This window comes from Homo sapiens, chromosome X, assembly GCF_000001405.40.
Source record: "Homo sapiens chromosome X, GRCh38.p14 Primary Assembly".
Lineage (NCBI taxonomy): Eukaryota > Metazoa > Chordata > Mammalia > Primates > Hominidae > Homo > Homo sapiens.
Window position 1 is genome coordinate 132,199,408 of NC_000023.11, and position 20,042 is coordinate 132,219,449.

General features: G+C 38.1%; 1 protein-coding gene and 1 long non-coding RNA gene across 10 annotated transcripts in view, besides 3 other annotated features; one reads left to right on the forward strand and one right to left on the reverse strand.

Annotated features, from left to right (window-relative positions):
- Positions 1–3,617: 3,617 nt before the first annotated feature.
- On the reverse strand, positions 3,618–20,040 carry RAP2C (RAP2C, member of RAS oncogene family). Of its 9 annotated transcripts, none has more exons than NR_073150.2 (7): positions 19,963–20,040; positions 18,825–18,926; positions 17,871–17,960; positions 17,589–17,749; positions 15,128–15,168; positions 14,727–15,039; positions 3,618–6,180 (listed from the first exon to the last, which is right to left on the reverse strand). NR_073150.2 is itself a non-coding variant. In XM_006724775.3 (7 exons), the coding sequence occupies exons 5-6, from the start codon at positions 17,661–17,663 to the stop codon at positions 14,761–14,763; spliced, it is 354 nt and encodes a 117-aa protein (XP_006724838.1). In that variant the 5' UTR covers positions 17,664–17,749; positions 17,871–18,399; positions 18,509–18,605; positions 18,740–18,934; positions 19,963–20,040; the 3' UTR covers positions 3,618–6,180; positions 14,727–14,760. The 9 variants fall into 9 exon arrangements, 7 of the variants coding, with proteins under 7 accessions (XP_006724838.1, NP_001258116.1, XP_011529678.1 ...); XM_006724775.3 differs by lacking the exon at positions 15,128–15,168 and adding an exon at positions 18,509–18,605 and having other exon boundaries at positions 17,871–18,399; positions 18,740–18,934; NM_001271187.2 differs by lacking the exon at positions 15,128–15,168.
- Positions 18,030–18,469: a silencer, noted in NCBI's record as "silent region_21005". NCBI's record gives its function as "represses an Ori minimal core promoter by ATAC-STARR-seq in GM12878 lymphoblastoid cells {active_cell/tissue: GM12878}" and the evidence as "EXISTENCE:reporter gene assay evidence [ECO:0000049][PMID:35858748]".
- Positions 18,480–18,529: a silencer, noted in NCBI's record as "silent region_21006". NCBI's record gives its function as "represses an Ori minimal core promoter by ATAC-STARR-seq in GM12878 lymphoblastoid cells {active_cell/tissue: GM12878}" and the evidence as "EXISTENCE:reporter gene assay evidence [ECO:0000049][PMID:35858748]".
- RAP2C-AS1 (RAP2C antisense RNA 1) overlaps positions 19,100–20,042 on the forward strand; it is a 214,305-nt gene continuing 213,362 nt past the window's right edge. Inside the window, exon 1 of the long non-coding RNA NR_110410.1 lies at positions 19,100–19,430. This is a non-coding gene — a long non-coding RNA (RAP2C antisense RNA 1). The remainder of the gene's footprint in view (positions 19,431–20,042) is intronic.
- Positions 19,962–20,031: an enhancer, noted in NCBI's record as "active region_29971". NCBI's record gives its function as "activates an Ori minimal core promoter by ATAC-STARR-seq in GM12878 lymphoblastoid cells {active_cell/tissue: GM12878}" and the evidence as "EXISTENCE:reporter gene assay evidence [ECO:0000049][PMID:35858748]".

Consider the following 20,042-nt stretch of genomic DNA (forward strand, 5'->3'; position numbering starts at 1 on the left):
ACAACAAACCCCCACACTGGGGTTAGTTGAAGGGTCAGAGCCCTCAGAAATCCTTCTATTTCTCAATTGTGGATTTAACATCCATCCACTTTCAAACTCCAAGAAAAGTTCAGCATGGGCTCTAACAACCGCCCCCCTGCCCCCGCCATTTCCTCAACTCTTAATGCTTACAGCAGCTGGTAGGAACTTCAAGCTACTAAGCCCAGGGCACTCCCTGGAGCTTACAGCACGAGTAAGAAAGTATCTAGTGCCTCAGGAGCCAATTCCTGGAGGGGCTTTCTGGGGCACCCAGGAGTCTCTGGTTACTTGGCAGACTGCACAGGCCACTCATATTGAAGCACACATGTAGGGCTAACATTTTGGGGGATAACCTTAGGTTGCTTTAAGGGCAGCCTGAAAATGTCTCTAATTATTGTTGTCAAAAGTGTTGAAGACCGACTTTGGGAGGCCGAGGCAGGTGATCACCTGTGGTCAGGAGTTTGAGACCAGCCTGGCCAACAGCGAAACCCTGTCCCTACTAAAAATACAAAAATTAGCCAAGCGTGGTGGCAAGTGACTGTAATCCCAGCTACTTGGGAGGCTGAGGCAGGGGAACCGCTTGAATCCGTGAGGCAGAGGTTCCAGTGAGCCGAGATGGCGCCACTGAACTTCCAGCCTGGATGACAGAGCAAGATTCTGTCTTAAAAAAAAGAAGTCGGAGACTGAGTCTTGGAGCTTGTGGGAAGCAGAGTAAGAAACTTTTACTTCCAATAGCTTTAGTGCTCATAAAACTATTCATGATTCATGTAGAAAAAATGGAAGGGACAGGGTAGGAGTTTAGTTACATGAGGGTACACATTAGTTTGTAGGTACAATGAGGGAATGGGGCAGAGACAAAGGAAAAGCAGAGGAATTGACTGCAGGGAGATAGGTGGGGGATCACCTGAAATTTTGGAAGGGGGAAGTTTGAAGAACAGGAATTAATGCCTCATTAAGGGGAAATACTTAAGATGTTTTAGGAATCCTCTATAAACATTTCTCTGATTTGCCTAAGAATGAAGTAGGAACAGGTCCAGGTAAGCTTCAGGATCTACTGGAGAGGAAACTCAGGCATGGATAGCAAATACCCTTTCTTGATTGTATTCTTGTCCCTAGAGTCTTAGAGGATTTAGTTTTAGACTCAAGGCCCTCTAGTCCACATTCACAGTGTGCCTGTATGGACCATCTCTCTATAGTATACATTTTCCCTGGAAGTGAGTTTAGAAACAACTATTATAAACAAAAACAGGAAGCAAAACAAACAAGCAGCTAACAATTTAGCACTGCAGAGGATGAGGGAGAGAAAATGCACTTCCCACACTACCTAAATGTTATAAATTTAAAAAGACCAGCAGAAAATGGCAAGGTTAGGATTTTCTAAACAGCAAACACCCAACTGCTTTACTCATTCTGTTACTATAACTTCATCAAATATTTATTGAACACTATAAAGTACCACAGGTAAGCACTAAGGATGAAGAGGTGACTTAGGCAAAGTCCTTACCTTCAAGGAATTCACAGTCTATGGGAGAACACTCATAAATTATAACACCATACCAGGACCATTGAGCTTGGGAGTGGGATGACCTTACCCACTGAGAACAATGCCTTTAAGCACAGGGATATGGCTCTGTGCTGACAAAAGACGAGTTGAAGATCAGCTGCACTTCTGGTTCTCCTTTGCGATTGATTCGATTGATTCAGAATACAGCTGCTAAATCTAACTACAGTTCTTTTGGCACTGCTAACCGGGCTGGATTCTGCCTGGTGGTCAAAGGCTGCCAAATCCTAGATTTAAGACATTGCCTTTCCAAAGAAAAATAGCTATAATGAAAATAGCTTATGACTTACATAAACTTTAGTAATATAACACACACATTACCTTTGAAAAGGACGCTAGTATTTTGTTACATATGGACCATCACACTGACTTAAAATAGTTATTTCTTGCTTTTATCTTGTTTCCATAAGCTTTATAATTTTAATAGTACCCATCTGACTCTACCCAATGATATATTTATTTGAAAACTTCTCCAAAAGAAACTTTCTCAACATTTTAATCATTTGACCTTACCTTTACGAACTTAAGGCACAACTTTCCTGAGCCTTGGTTTCATCAACTATAAAATGGGAACGATAAACTCCAAAACACCAGCTAGCAGTAAAGTTCAAATGAGATTAATATGTGTACAAGCTGAAGTTTAACCAAAAAATTGTCTCTGCTTTAAATCTAAATGAGAAATCTTATAGCCTTGAAGCTTGACCCCAAGAGGCTATAACCTGGAAAAGTGTTAAGACTAGGTGAATCTTTTCCCAGGATAAGAATGGCATGAAGAGGACAATGTGGAGGAGATAAAGGTAGTCTGGCTGTGACAGAGTCCCTTACTGATACTCAATGCTGATTTGGCTCGTCAGGCTAGTTTCCCTTAGCTCTTACCTTCCTCTGTCCTCTCATCGTTACTCACTTGGTTAAACACGTTGACCTTGCTGGATGAAGGGATACCACTCCTTTAGTGGAAAAAAGGTGGAAGGCCCTGAAATCCTGAGTGCCTTCATTGTAGAAAAAAGTTATGTATTGACTGCAAGGACAGCATCTAAGGCAGCATATATGGAGTGTCTGGAGCCCATCTGAAGGCCAATAATTGATGGTAATAAACAATAAGATATTTTCTATATGATACAGGTATATAAAACTACCCATTCATTTACAAATATTTTTAAAATGCAGTCCATGTACATTTGGATAGACAGAACTGTCCAACTTCAAATAAAAGATTGATAATGATTTTTAAAAATTGAGGTTAAAAAATCTATTCAACAATTTAAAAAAATATTGAATTGGGCAGCAAATTAAAGTGATTGTCAAAATGTTTCACTGGATAAAACAAAATAATTGTGTCATATTTAATTTAATATTTCAAAATTTAATTGTATTGCTTAATATTGTCTGAAATCTGGGCTGGGCATGGTGGCTCACCCCTGTAATCCAAGCACTTTGGGAGGCCAAGGCAGGAGGGTTGTTTAACCCCAGGAGTTTGAGGCCAGCCTGGGCAACATAGTGAGACCCCCCCAATCTCTACAAAAAAATGGAAAAATTAGCTGGGCGTGGTGGCAAGCCTCTGTAGTCCCAGTTTCTCAAGAGGCTGGGGCAGGAGGATCACTTGATCCTAGAAGTTCGAGGTTGAAGTGAGCTATGATTGTGCCACTGCACTCCAGCCTGAGTGACAGAGCAAGATTGCCTCCAAAAAAATATATTGTCTGAAATATTTTATACATGGACAATTCCCAGTGAACAAATTTGTCATTTGGCCACTTTCTGCATGTAGATCAGGTTATACATATCATTCATTTTCAGCCATTGTCTATAATTTCTATAATATATAATATATAATTTCTATATCATTCTCAGTTTTCCCCCAAAATATGCCAGAATGGTAACTAAGGAAACAGGCGAATGAATGTTTAACTTTGTTTAAACATGTACTGCAATACACATGATCATTTTGATAAAAAGTAATGATTTTCAGTTTTGAGAAAGATTTATAAGTTAGCAAATCCAGAACATGAAGCAATACACCAAATAATTAAAGAAACCAACCTCAGTAATACAGATGTCTATTTTATTAAAAAAGTTACAAACAGGTGGACTGCAGGGTCGTCTTACAAAATGACAAGAATGAAATCTATTGGAAAAATTTTACTTTTACAAATCTTTATAGGTAATTGTTCAATGTTTGTACTTGTTATTTGAGATTTTACCTTTCACTGATAAAGTTACAGTACATTAGATCCATGATAATAGGTTACATTATTTTATTTGCAGAGCCCTACTGCAGTGATTTGAACAACTCCTAAATAGATGCCATAATAAAGACAAGACATATATTGCATTTAATATTAATTTATTATCCTAATAAGCAACATGCAATCTATTGAGGAAGCTAAAATAACTTTTGGTCCCTTTTCTTAAAATGTGCTGGAGAAACCACCTTTAAAATCACTTTCCCCTGATTCCTGCGATCCTAAGTGAATTCAAGTCAAATTTGCTGCTGAGGTCAATGACAATGAACACTGTAATTTTGAGAGAGAGAGAGAGAGAGAGAGAGAGAGAGAGAGAGAGAGAGAGAGAGAGAGAGAAACAAGAACACAATCTACAGGAAAGAAACATTATAAAAAAATCAAAATCTCTAGAAAATTTAAATCATGATGAATTATTTGATTCCTTTAGAATTTCACAAAGCCACAAAGCTAATAACAATGATCCATGATCACTTAACCTACTTTTAAATGAGTGTTTGGTTTTAAGTTTGGTATTAAAGTGCAAACTTAAATTAAGTATTCACTTCAAGCAGTTCATAAATAAGGAACAATGTTTCAATTGCCTCTATCTTTACAATCTCACCATAAAATTCAAAATTTAAGAACAAGAGTTCACTTTGAGGGAATTTGCTCAGGAATCAAATGCAACACGATTTAAAAAAAGGAAATCAAAGTTTAGTCAATTTCTACTCAGTAATTAATGGTCATGCTGACCCATAAATCACATGAATGTAGATACCACTTTATTTGAACATCACACACAATATAAATTTAAAATTGCCACACCCTTTCATAAACCATCACTGCATATATTAGAGCTTTCCTTGACAAAGTTATTGAGCTCTTATTATAGATCAAAAGTATAGTTTTGGTTTTGTTTTATTTTATTTAGAAGCATGTTCAAATGACTAAAGCTGGGCTCCTAAAATCGAGAACTTTGGTGCAGTAGGTGAGCTGCAGTTACTAACTTCTGCAAATGAAAAGCACACAACTAAAATCAAATAAAAACCCAACAATAAAATACTGTCAAACTTACACAATTTAAAAATCATTGCTAGAAAAAGCCCTCATTGTCACGATGTTAAAACTGAACCAAAATATTACTCTGCATAAGTTTCCTTTCTGATTCTACACCTGCGTTACTGTTAAAATGTTCAAGTATTCAGACAAAAATATGCTGATTAGGTAAACAACATGGAAGGCAATGGCTATTAGAAAGCACATTTGCAAAAATAAAAAATAGCCCAGAGACTTGGCGCTATTCTCCCTCCTGTTACACAGATTTTGTCTCTAATACGAACATGCTTCTTGAGAAATAACTAAAAAGCAATTGTGATAGTGCAAGAAAACTTTAACAAATATTGCTTTAAACTATTATTCAGAAAGACAAATATTAAGAACTAGAAAGTGTGTATGATTTTATTTGAATTCAATTTTACATGTGCAGAAGTCTACTAGATGTCAATTACAAGCCTGATAGGCAAAGATGAGCTATCTCTGTTTAGGTATACAATTAATTTACCATGGATACAATATCCCTTTTCAAAGGCATTGCTAAATAGGTCATAACTAAATTTAGAACTTCACAGAAAGGAAAATGTTACTGCCGCAATTCAATGCTGTAAATGAGATTAACACATGTGAAAACCTAATGGAACTGAATGCTTAACTCTTCAACTAAATGCTCTACAGTCAATTTCAAATATCAATTGTAACCTTCAGAACATGTTAATTACAAAAAAAAAAAAAAAAAAACAAAACACATCACAAACTGCACTTGAAGAAAAGGGATATTCCATCCATACAGGTAAAATGTGATCTTTAGTTTCTTTTTACAACACTGCCACACGTAAACAAAGTCTCAAAGTATTAACCAATAATTTTAAAGGAGAAAGATTTTACAAATAGGATGAAGCACTGGTACGAGGTAATATACAGAAGTAACCATTTGTTTAAGGCTCAATTTTTTCTCCATTATAACTTTCTTTTAAAAGGCATTGAGTAGGTAATACTGAGTTTGAGTATTTAATAAATACAAGTCGAGAAACTGATTAAAGAAATCAATTAAAATATTAAAAATTAACCCTTGTATATTAGCCATCAATAAGAACTTAGAAAGCTATAAAAGGACTGATTGATAAAGAATGGATTTTAAACGTATGGTAAACGTGCTAAGCATTCCTGTTTAAGGTCGATGGATCTTGAAGGCCAAAGACCTTATGCACTTAAATAGATGTATGGCAACATGCTGTAATAGAGACAGGTTTACCAAGGCTCAGTTCTGCAACCCAGGTTGTAAAGTTCTCCAAAGCAGCATCTGTGCAAATTTCCTCTGAGTTTTATCTGCAATTAAGATAAACATGTCATAAAAATGTAGAAATACATAGTTTAAAAAGAGAACACTGACAACAGATCTATATACACAGAGAAGTGGTAACAAGAATAACAAACTTCAGTTAAAGTAGAAAGTTAATTTTCCCTCGTCCTGATAAGTCATTAAAAAAAAATAGAAACACAGAAGTGATGCATTGGATATAATGTACTTTGTGTGTGCGTGTGTGTGCGTGTGTGTAGCTATTCTAGCTTATTTCTATAATATTATTATGCCTTGTACTTGTATTATACTTATGCAATATTAAAAATGTCCTTACTGGTTTAAATGATCTTACAGTATAAAAGTTGTTGCAAATGCTGCTTCTACTTTGAACTTGATCTCTTCACATTTTAACTGGAAATGGTATTGTTATCAAATGCATGTTAATTATGAGTTAATTGGCAGTATGTTAGACTTTTCCTAAATTTAGTTTTTTGAGAGATTAAAATAAGAAAACGTCATTCAGGCCGGGCACAGTGGTTCATGTCTGTAATCCCAGCACTCTAGGAGGCCAAGGTGGGAGGACTGCAGAAAGAAAAAAGAAAAGAAAGGAAAAGAAAAAAGAAAAGAGAAGAAAGAGGGAGGGAGGGAGGAAGGAAGGAAGGAAATTCAATCAAGGTCTAGATATTGAGCACCTACTAGGTGCCTAGGTAAGGTCAGATGCTAGGTGATAGCAGCAGTTCACATTTTCCACTTGGGTCTGCCCTTTTTTGGGGATGTCCTCCCAACCACGGGATCTTCTTTTATGACTGGGATTCCTCATTCCCTGCTCTTATAGCGTACAGATTTCTGCCCTTCCAGCTAATACTAGGGAAAAAAAATCTATCGTTCAGACAGATAGAGCGTCCTTCAACTGTGCTGAATCACCAAATAGCTTCTAGGGGAATAGAGTTATGTTTGTTTTTGAACGCATGAGATAAAAAATGTTATCATAAAGCCAGAAACAAAAGTAGAACAGCAACTATGAAAGAATGCCAAGGGAAACCAGTTTATAATCATTTAAGGGCTCTACCAATGTTTATAAATGCATAATTTTAATTTCATTTGACAGCTACACTTCTATTAGTGCTCAAAGAGCCTGAGATAATGCTTTATTAGCAGCTATATCATAAAAATGATTACTATTAAAGAACATCACTCTGCTCATTATTGAAATTCTGCTACCTAAACACATTAGGAAAAAATAGAACAAAAGTCTGCCTCTTTAGAAATTATTATAGAAACATTCTTCCAATTAAAAGACATTTTGCATTAAATTGTTAATTAGGACACCAGTTATTTAAGCTTTGGCAAGTCCGGTTTCCTCATCATCGAAAAAGGGATAAAAATACTTTCTTCACAGGGTTGTTGTAAATTTGTTTTCCATTTCCAACTATGTTATAAATTTCTAGACTACCAGGATTGTAATTTTGATATCCAGACTAAGGAGCTTTATATTTTTTAGCCTAGCTGGAATTTCTATACCTACTTGAACACAACAGTATTTCATTATATATGCAGTATTATGAATAAAAATTATTCATTATGAATACTTTTTAGTAATTTAGAAAGACTTCCTTCAATTAGTTTGAATTAATGAATTTGCTATAAATTTTCATTTCCTTTTTTAAATCAAACAATTATAAAGAGGTTGGGATTTTCAAAAATAATTATTTCTCTTAAATATTAAAGACCTCTTCAAGCATTCTCTAAAATCAAATTGAGAAAGTAGTTATTATTTATTTCTAGCCAAAATAAATATTAATAATCAAATCATTTTACTAACCATAATCTATATGGAATAAAACATGATATATTAATCACCTCCTACCCTCTAAAAACCTGGGTAACATTTGGTCTATCCACATCCACAGGATGACAATACTCCTGTGAAATCAAGAGATATAGATAAATCCTGAGTTAGGCTCTACAATATTAACATTAGGCATACCTTTAAGCAAACAAAGTATTAATACTAGCTACTTTTCAAGAGAGTAATAAATTATAATTATCTGCAGTAATAAATCCTGAAGTAAAATGCTTGCATTAAACAAAAACAACAGTCTCTTTCAGGTTAGAATTTCAAGTGTAAATGTTCTTGCTCCCCAGTGACAGCAAAATTTTCAATATACTAACACTTTCATTTACGTAAAAATAAATCGCTGAAGGTTTAAAAGCAGCTGGTCAAATCAGTACTTTTTAACTTGCAGGATATCACATTCAAGCACGTTGCAAATGTATAACTTGCAGCTTTCAAGATAGAACACAAGTTATCCTCGACCTCACTCTCAAGTTTCCAGCAAGACACTCAACAAATCTTATCTCTGGAAGCTTCTATTCAAACTCTTACTTAATTGTTTGGTTTTACTTTTTAGCTTTTTACTAATGCAATATTATAGGAAAGTACAAAAAAAAAACCACACACACACACACTAATCCAAAGCTTTTGCTCAGGAAATTATGAAATAAATAGGGTCTCCCAAGTCGGGTAAATTGGTATACGAGAGTACCAAACACAGAACAAAAGGAACAAAGATCATTATTTATGTCAGCCTGAAGAAAAAAAGGGGATTCTTGATTCAAGACTAGCACATCATTTCACATGGCAGCAGAATGCCTGGTATGTTAACAAAGGCTCCTGAAAGGCTTAGCAGTTTATGAATGTCTTTTTAGCTTAACTGGACTTACCTTATCTAAATACAATGGTATTTACTAGCATTGTCTCTCTCTCTCTCTCACAAATACTAGTGTGTAATCATAATCACTTTTAATTTTTTTCTAGTTTTAGGGATATGATATTCTTGGGATTTAACCAAAATACTTTTTTTGAAAATGAATTTCCTTTCATATTTAATTAGCATTTTATTTACAAGTTAAAAGTTAGTTGTATTAGCAAAACATCAGGCTGCAATTATAATTTTAATAAATTGTTATTTTAATAATGATGTTAATAAATCATCAAAAGTGCTATTTTAATAAAACATTAAATTATTTTAGTAATAATTTTAATAAAACATTAAATTATTTTAATAATTTTAATAAAACATTAAAATTATTATTTTAATAATAATTTTAATTTCAGAGACAGGATCTTGCTCTGTCATCCAGGCTGGAGTGCAGTAGTGCAATTGTGGCTTACTGCAACCTGGAATTCCTGGGCTCAGGGGATCCTCCTACCCCAGCCTCTTGAACCGCTAGTACTACAGGCACACACCACCATACCCAGCTAAGTTTTTTATTTTTATTTTTTGTAGAGTCGGGGTCTCATTACATAGCCCAGGCTGGTCTCGAACTCCTGGCCTCAAGTGATCCTTCCACCTCGGCTTCCCAAAGTGCTGGGATGACAGGTATGAGCCACTGCATCTGGCCTCAGGCTGGAATTCCTCTGATACAGGTTATGTTTTTGTTAAATATCTTTTGTTTTGTTTCTCTATCCTAATGTGCATAATACTCATGAAGCTTACTAGGGTTGGAGTGGGAGGACTAGATCTTTAAACGTGTTCACTGTCACCCATTAAACACAGAGAGCAAAAGCGGAACCTATGGCATAGAATCCTTGAATGGAGGTGGAATCACACATGAAGGAAAGCAAGCTCACTAAATGTTTATAGTGAACCCAGGGTAGAAGGGATGGGATTAGCTATATTTCTTATGTACTAGACCTAAAATCTCTGAATGTTTAAATTAATATGATTAGTTCAATTCTGAGATCTCACATATTATAACCAAGTCCAGTGATAATAAACAACAGTGTGAGCCCAATGATACAATTCCAGCTGCTAGCTTTGAATTAGACCAGATAAGTTAGTACTCCCCTCAACTCTAAATTGCTTTTTCTGAATTTGATGTTTCTAAGATTGGCTAATTAAAACTACTTGGGAGTATGTTTTTGATTGGATATGTTTTTCTAACAGCTGACAGGACTTAAGTTTTTCTTACTGATATTATCTTCTGAATTGTAGAATTCTACTGAGAAGTAATCCCATGGGGAGAATCTTTTCTGTAGTATGGCTAGAACACTTCCTTGGTGGCAATTCTCCAACTCTATGATGCAATTTTTGTTAATTCTACTGATAGTTCATTCTAAGCCAGAGAGGTAATGGAGTAAAACTGAATGGCTCATATGCATTTTATTATGCAATAAAAGCCTAATCTTGAGGTTAAAAGGAAGCAATTAAAGAGGGAACAGATATACAAAGAGTCATTCTAATCACCAGACACCTCCACATCCAGAGCAGGTCTAACTAGGCACCTGTCCACTCTCAAGTCTCAAACCATGAACCAACCCTATGAATTCAGTGAAGGTCTGGGAGAATTAGGAGTAGTAGAAAGGGCAAGGTGGTTTTGTTTTTCCCTTTTACCCAAGGTTCGCTGAGGGCCTTTATGGTACATACCACCCCCAAAGCATGCTTCTTCTTCCATTCAACTCCTCTGCTCCACTTTGACTCACCATGTGAACTGGATGACAGATGAGCATTTTAAATAAGCCATTTTCCCCATTCAAAGTGATATGCAAATAGAGCAGTGGGAAAAAAAGAACTATCTAACAAAACTATAACTTCTACAACAGAATTCCACCCCAGCATTTTACTGATATTATTAATATTTACCTTGTATAGGAAATTTTAAGTATGTGATGTGATTTGAGGATTTTTCTCCTCACATTTGCTAAACCCCCAGCATACCATAAAAATTAAAAACTAAAATTAAAAGTTAAAAAAATTAAAAACCATTCTGATTCTATATTTTATTTTAAAAAACCCTGAAAATGTTTATCAATTCCACTGTATTTAGGAATAGTAAGTCTAGCTAGACTAAAATGATGTTCAAATAGAGTTTAGTCTTTCAGTAGCCTTTGTTAGCATCCCAGGCATTCTGCTGCCATGTAAAATGACGTGCTAGTCTTGAACCAAGAATCTCCCTTTTTCTTCAGGCTGAAATATATAATGAACTGGGGCTGACATAAATAATGATCTTTGTCCTTTCAGTTTGCTTCCCTGTGTTTGGTACTCTTATGCACCATTTACTCTAGTTGGGAGAACCTGTTCCACAGTACACTGAGAAAAATGGTATAAAATCTTACAGGAGACCTTCAAACCACAGTGAATAACACCTTTTCCCCCATTTTCTTTCTTTATCACTTTCATCAATACTGGACTGACATAAAGGAATCCTTGAAAAATCATCTTTAAAATATTCTATTTGCCAAAAGGATATATCAAACTGTCACATTTAAGAGACACCTTTACTGCACTTCCCCCTTACTATTAGGGAATCAACAGAATATTTTAGGATATGATTATGCTCCTTCTTGGCATTCTTTCTGTTTGAAGGTCAACACTGACACCCCCCACCCCTACCACCAGTCCCCTCAAGTCCTATCCATCTTCAAAGCCTGATTCAAATGCTATTGCTCCCAATATCTCTAACTCGGTGGCGCTTAACCAAGGGCAATTTTTGTCCCCAGGGGGCATTTGGCAATTTCTGGAGATATTCTTGTCATAATGGGGGATGAGGAAGATGCTACTGTCATCTAGTGGGTAAAAGCTAGGGATGCTGTTAAACATCTGACAATGCACAGGACAGCCCCAAACAGCAAAGATCCCAGAATGTTAAGAAACTCTGTTCCAGTTGGTTGTGGTCTCTCCTTTCCCTGAACTCCCACAGGACAGTGATTTACTTCTTTTATAGTACTATGAGATTATTAACAAAACATCAATCCTTCTCAACAAAAATATACCCAAACAGTGAACTGCCAATAATTTATACCAGCACAGAAGAGCTATGATATAGTGAATGAAACCAGAACAGGGTGACAATGCTGACCCGGGTTTCCATTATACTGCTGCCATACAGCAAAAGAAGTCCCTTCAAAGCACTTGATCATACGCTCCTCAGATCAGTAAAGAAATCAGGATGATGGCAGCGTATAAGGAATCTGGTTATGCTTCCAAACTTACACTAAAGTTACTGCCAATGGGAGGGTAAAAGGTGAGGAAACAATCCTGGGAGCCACGCAGATAAACAGGTGTTAGGCACGAGGCCTGTGACCCAAATTGAAAGATGTTAAGACATAAATGTGAGGAATTATCAGAAGCAATTCTTAGAGCATTAATAAATTTTCCCTCTCAGTTAAAAACAACCAATTAACAACAATAACAGTGTTTCTGATTTACATCCTATTATTTCTAACTTGGACAAGGTACTCTTCTAAATATTAGCGACAAACATTTCTCAAATCAACTTTACCTGTCAAAGTTTGATATTCAATTTAGATCTGGGTCTGACAGATTTCAAAGCTCCATGACTCAAGCTATAGGATTCAAAATCCACCATCTATTTTCTTCTCTTCTTAGGTAAATGGTGAGCAAGGACAACCACAAATTTTACTAGCCTCAGATTAGAGATTCCCATATATGGGAATCAGTTCAATTTTATTTGATGTCAGAAAAAAAAAAAACCTGCATATAGTGCACTTTGTTCTAAAAGATCTTGGTCAGGGAGTTCCCCTTAATATTTTTAGAAATTCAGTTTATTGGATATTTTATTTCAAGGCTAATATCTTCATTTATATATTCTGCTTACAAAAACAAACAAAAACCTACACAGAGAACTTGACCCACTACTATAAAAATGAATATAGGTATTAATAATTTCCATTTTTAGTATGTTAATTAACAAAAAATACAAATATAGTTGGCTTGAGATACTAAAAAAAATCTATGTACTCATTCCTGTAGGTAACTAAATAGGTTAAAAATAATTCAGATCACAAAAAGTTACCAAATGAAATAAACTCAGAAATGATTCAGAAGAAGAGGTTCAAAAATAGCTTTAGAAATTATTCACCTGCCAATTTGGCTGAGAGAGCTGGCTCTCTACATGTATGAGACCAATTTTATTCAGTTAACCTCCTATAGCTGTCTACACTAATGATGGAAGGAAAACTGGGAACATTTCGTGGGAGTTGGTTAATTTTTAAAAAGATGATAAAACTAACACAAAATGTGTATAGACACTTACGTTATCTGCCCAGTAAGTGTCAGGTAGAAAAATAGAGCAAAACAGTAAAGACACAATCACCACACAGAACTTGTTCAATTGTGAAGCTGGCTTACAATTTAAGGAGAGAGATTACAGCAGCAAGAATATGGGACTTGATCCATAAGCCTCTCCCCTCCTCAAAAGACTATACTGCAAGTACAATGCTATCAACCAAACACAAGCTGGACTATGGTCTGAAAAGTGACTTTATAAAATAATAGATGTAGCTAGACATAAGAAAATAAATGAGTTTTCATCATATTCTGGTATGCTAAAGGCTGATGAGTGAAAGCATTTTAAATAAAGCATTGTTGTCATCCTTCATTTTCAAAGATGACACTATCTGACAGGAGACCTTGTCTGAAAAGATAAATTAGGGACCGTTAGTCTTTTCTCCGGGGAGCATACACAAAGCCAGACCCTTGATTAGGAATCATTGCTCCAATCTGAAATGCCTGTTGCCATTTGCAACACTGCCTCCTAGACTCGAGGTCAGCCTTGGCTCAGGAAGATCAATTTCATTCCTGATACTGTCAGGCTAGTCTGGCATTTGCTGCGGTTTCTCAGTCATTCACAATATTGGTTGTTTTATCTTATTATCTAAGTGTTACTGTCTAAGTGAGACTATTTGCTCAATTACAATCTAGACTAAAAGATCATGGCATAAATAATCTTGTTTTAAATGCTTCGTAAGTTTTACATAATCTTACTTTTAAAAAAGTATGAGTTTTAAAAAAAAACTCATTCATTAAAAAAAACTTGTAAGTTATCATTTAACTCAGTGAAAGGCCTGAAGGTTTGTTACTGTTCCTATTAATCTCATAATTTATTAAATTGAATAAATTTTTTTATGCATGAAACTGTTCCTTCTAACACATCACAGATAATTCAACTAGATTATCTTTTGGACCGTATATTTATAATGAAGTCAGGGTACACTGTGGCACTATAATTTGTTATTATCAGAGGTCACTTAAGTCCCTCAAGTGTTAGGTACAGATGAATTTGCTTAAATAATTGTACTGTTAATCAAGCACTTGGTGATTAGTAAATTGGTGATTTTAATTGCAGCAATTTGCTTGCTCAGGACATAAAAACATAAAAGTACAGAAAATACCACAAAACTTCTGAAATTATTACTCAGTGCTCTCCTGTGCATTCTGGATGCTAAATCAGAAGAACAGGGAAAAAGTGTATTATGGTTTAACTCAACCCAAAGAAATATTACCAATAAAGCAGAGAAGGAAGAACAATAACTCACTTAAAATCCTGGTGATGGGAATATAAGCAATTTCTTATCTCCGCTTTGCTTATCTGCATTTAAAAAAATTTTCTTCATTGAATGTTGACTATTTTGTGTGATGGAAAATGTTATTTTAAAAATAAAGAAATTTAAGGCAGTGCCATATGTATTAACACTAACCAGCTTTTTGTTTTACTTGATCAAAAAACAAAACACTACCTGATTCATACAGTTCCATCAAAAACTAACCTGCTCGGTATGGCCATGATTGAGGTTATCTTCTTTACTGGACGACACAAGTTGTACAACACTGATCTTGCTTCTCCGGCAGGGATGAATAGTTCATTTGCCTGACGATCTCAGCAAAAAGTTCATCCACCATTGATTTACTTTTTGCCGATGTCTCCATGAAAGGACAGCCCCATTCTTGAGCCAGAGCTCTGCCTTCTGAAGACATAACCTCTCTTTCTGGTTCCAGATCCACTTTATTTCCTACTAGGATTAGTGGGACTTTTTCATATCTCTTCACTCTGACAATTTGATCTCTCATTGGCTTGATATCCTATTCAAGCAATCACAAAGAGAAAGAAAAACATTATGCTGTTTGTATAACCATAACAGAAATATTACAGTATTACAAAAAGTCATACCTCAGTGAGTATACAAAGCTGAATCCAAAATGAAATCACACCTAAACAGAGAAATCGTCATCATTTTGTCCACTGAAGTAAGAACTAGATAATTTCCAGAGACCCTACCTGCTGGGTTTGTCAAGAATATAAAACATGGGTTGCACACTAACCTTGACTCATATAATCACTTTTACCCACCCCCAGTCTATACTGATTAAAAAAGCAAGTTTCCAAATGATTAATCCATTCGTACATAAGGATGTTTGGCCATCTCCCTAAACCTGCCTGCTTGTCATCACTCCTTGTAACACCTGTTATCCTAGCACAGGATTGCAGCATCTATGCATTCCTAGCCATGTAGCAAGAGGGCTTGAGTGAAAGTGTTTTAAGTGGGAAAAAAAACCACTTTGTAATGCCTAGAATAAAAGAGTTACAACCAGATGGATACACTTAAATGTTTTATTTTAAATTGAATGGTATGCATTTATTCCAGTAAAATCAAACACCTTACAATACACTTAAATTCACTAGAAACTACTGTAACAGTGAGCAACTCCTGGGAAGGACAGTGCAAGGGGAGTCTGGGTGGGAAGAAGTCATTTTTTTTTTTTTTGCCTGTGTTTGTTTTTACTACTTGTTTCCCCATGCGTATTACTTTTTCCAAGTAGTTACAACGAATTACAAAAGATAAGAGCGTTAGCAATTCTCCAGTAGCATCAGTTTTGGGAGGTGGGGGCAAGTATTGATTTAATACAATATTATAGACTTAATTATAAAAATCACCATTTTCGGTAATATTTCATAATTTTAAAAGTTTGCCTTAAATAGAAAATGTATGCTTAATTGGAAGTCATAGTAAGTACAGAATATTCACATGTGGGCCTACGGAAAAGCAAGGGACTATGAAAATCTATAAAAATATAGTTATTTGATATTTGCATCAATTTGGTTTGATAATATATCAACTCAGATTTCTAGGTTACGCTTATTTCCCATTGTCTTTATGGAAACATAAGTTCAGCTGAAAATCCAAACTTAGGGCATTTGGGCTCAAAAGAGTTTACACCTCCACTGAAATAACGGCACAGTTTTTCACTCCCAATTCATGTCTATAACACAAATGGATATAACAGAAATCTTATGAAACACCCTTCAAAAGACTCTCAGCCTCCAGAGAGTAAGCTGATAGAATAACAAATCTCCTGAGGATCCTTTAGGGAAAAAATGCCTGTCAAACAGCACCTTCAGTACTTTGGTACTTTCTGGGGGAAAATGCTTTTATGATACTATTGTTTGGGAATTTATGCCTACATAAAATGAATTTAGTTTGGTCTCAATAGCTTTGATTTATTTCCCCAGAATTTATCATCTTAAAAAAAAAAAATCCCTGAAGTTGTTCTATCAGGTTACTGGGAAAGTTCACTATAGTACTTTAATTTAAAATACTAAAGAAAGTGGAATTAGCACATTGTATTGGCTAAAGCACTTAAGGTCTCTTAAGTAAGCTACATTAAGTGCATACCTTTAAATGCAGAAAAAATATATCCATTTCCTAAATCAATGGAGGTCAATATAATGGGTCAATATGAGGTTATTCATTTTCAAGGGATAAATAGAAACATACATTGCATATCCTAAAATAACGTTAAACCTTCAGTCTGTTTCCCAGTGAAGGACAGGACAGATTTTCTAAGAGATTGGACCACATCCAGTTTGGCCACCCAGCCGGAGTAAGAAATCTGCACTTGTTCAGTGTTCCCAGACCCACGTATTTTCTGTAAATACAGGCAATGTTACCAGAAACAATTTGGATCAACTGCAGAAAAAGAGTCATTCCTGATTTTTGTTGGTTATTAATTCTAGGTACTAGTCTTTTCTATTAGTAACTTTTCTTCCTACTACACGCCCCAAGTAATTAAGTAAAATGCCTAGAAGGCAGGTCTTGAGTTCTTCGTCTTGCAACACTAAGATTTATGAATCTAGTTGAGAAACTTGAGAGAGAAGGGGAGGGCGGCGGGAGGGGGTGTTGGGGGGTGGGAGGGGAAGGTGTGGGTGGGACAGACACAGAGGACTTATCTGTGCAACAGATAATCGGCTCCAAATAATTTTTTCAAAGTGCTCTATTTACCCGAGATTATTTGTTAGATGTTTTGTCGTGTAAGTTAATCAATACTTGTTGAATTGAGCAAGCAACTTCAGAAGGTTATATTCCAGGCGAAATATACACAGACTGACATTTCTTTTTCACTTTTCTTTCACTTAAAAATAGCTTTAAAATATTTGTTGACGCTTGTTACTTTTTACTACGCTCTATAGAAACAACCCGATAGTCTTCCATGGCAGGAGTAACCTCAAAAATGCGTCATGTCTAACTTTCAAAAGCAAAGCACAGTCATTAATGCACGGTTCAAGCAACCCAGAAGTCGATGTCGGATTACCACACCCCCTTCTAACAAATTACAAGACTTGGTTTGGTTACCTGAAAAGACTGTTGATTAACCAGGCTATAAACCAGGATGAAACCTTGGCCGTTTTTGATGTAGAGATCTCTCATGGAGGCAAACTGCTCAGTTCCTGCGGTGTCCAGAATTTCCAGCACGGAGGGGGAAGAGTCCACTTCGATCTCTTTGCGGTAGAAATCTTCAATGGTGGGGTCATATTTCTCAATGAAAGTCCCAGTGACAAACTGCACAGTAAGGGCAGATTTGCCAACCCCTCCACTCCCTAACACCACTACCTTGTATTCCCTCATGAGTCTCACCTTCACCAACTCCTACCAGAGGGGGGGAAAGATCACCCCGCTAGCTGTGGCGCGGCTAGACGAGGCGGAAGGTGGGCGGAAATCTGCGAACTGGGGAGGAGAGTGCAGAGGAGCAGAGGGCCCAACCGGGGAAGAAGAGGAAGTTACAGGAGGGGGAGGGGAAAGAGCGTAGAGTCGGGGAGGGTGGGGAAGGGATGGTAATGCCCTTCCTATAGGAACTGCAGCCCGAGCAGGGGGCGTGGGGAGGAGGGCGAGCCTGGGAAAAGCCCGGCGAGGGTGGCGAGGAGGCGCGTGCCCCCGGGAGGGAAAGGGTGGGGGCTGCGGCGAGGGGACCCTGCGGCGAGGCGGACGTCGGAGGAGCCCGCAGCCCGGGGCTGCCCGGCACTCCTCCCCCGCCCTTCACACAAAGGGGCCCAGGGACCCCGCTTCCTGCTCGCGCAGCCCAGCCGGCTCAGGCCTGAGGGCTCCGTTCCAGTTACCGCTGCCCGGGCGGGTTTCTGGGCCCCGGCTCCCGCGGGGGTCGTCCGGCCTGTGAAGGGGAGAAGGACGCACATTACCCGGCTGACCCCCGCCCCGAACCTGCGGCGCCGGCCGCCGCCTCCCCCAACTCCCACCCGGATCAAGCTACTGCCGCTTACCCCGCCGTCCGCACCCGCCCGGCCGCCGGGGAGGCTCTGTCACGCCAAGGCCATGGCCACCCGCTGGCTCCTCTGTCTCTCCGCTGCCCCAGCGCTGCTGCTCGCCGCGGGGAAAGAAGCGGGGGCCTTCCGCGGCGGCCGCAGGGACTCCAGGCGAACCCACCTCTTTTTTTTCTCACCCACCCCCCACCCCCACCCCCACCCCCACCCCCACCCCCACCAAGCACACACCCGGAAGGGTTTCCCTGACACACTGGCTGAGGTGCCCCAGTTCCCCGAGACTGGACGGGATCACTTCCGGTGGGGAAAGTCCCACCTCTTCGGGGCGAGCCGGGTGGCGCTGGAGCCGCGCCCTGCTGAGCGAGCGAGCCGGCCGGGGACGGTTTCGGGTCGGGACTCCGGCTTCGGGAACGGGCCTCTGGAAACCTGCGACGTCAGTCCTTACCCGCCCGCGGCTGCCGCGGACCGTCCCACCCCCAAACCCGTAGAAGCCCCTCCGACCTGCAACCTCCAGCCGCCCGGCCCTAGGACTTGAGCGGCTCCCTGGCCGGTGCGGAACCTGCGGGCTAATAATCTAGCGACCGGGAGAACGCCAAACATCCCTGGACTAGAAGTTGCAGGGGAAATCAAACAGCCCAGAAAGTTTATTCTCCTTGCTGGTATTTCTTCCACTTGCTATTTTGCTGAGAGATGCATGCAAACTACCCTTAGACTTTCAGATGCAGTGCGTTTTACTTAGCCGTGCCTGACAAACACACAGAACTTTTACCGTCTGGTAGATCCGCCTTGACTTTACCAGCGAATACTAAAGTCACTTAAAAAAAAATCACAAGGCTCGAAAACAGCAGCATTAGAAGTAGACTTTATGGTACTCTGCTCAGCTATGTTCTCATTTGATTCCAACCACTACACGGCAGAAAAGGTAACCAATATTCAAGAAAGATTTGATTGGAAACGGTTTAGGCCTAAAGACTAATTTATTTTAATCGTTGATTATGTATAACAATTTGCTTGGCTGGCTCTTACATGCTGAAGTTTTGTTTTAAAGGCCATCCTATGTAGTCTTTGAAATTCAAAAGCAAGTAGTAACTCTGGTGTTAGATTCTAAGTTTCTATTTTTAGATAAAATTGTTACTTCCGACTATCTTTCCCTTTGCTAGCTTTCTATTTGTAAACTTTGTGTCGGATCCACAGAGCCCCAGGGCCAGGAGTCTAGGCTGTATTTTAGGTGTGTCACTTTCTTTTCAATTCAAGCATGTACCCAGAAACCTGCGAGACTCAGTGGCCAGCCTAGCAAAAATGACTCCAAATTCCCTTACTTACAAGCCCTAAATGGCCAAACTCTATAAAGAGATTTATTACTCAGCCTAAATTGTTGGACATTAGAACACAGGCGAATCATAGTAGTGTGAGGTCCCACTGTCCCTCCCTGAGTATTCCCCAATGTCACTTACAGTCTTCAAAGGAGAGTTTAGTTCAATTTCTCCTTGACCTCAGGCCGGTGCCATCTCTCCAGCGAAGTCCCCAGCTCTGG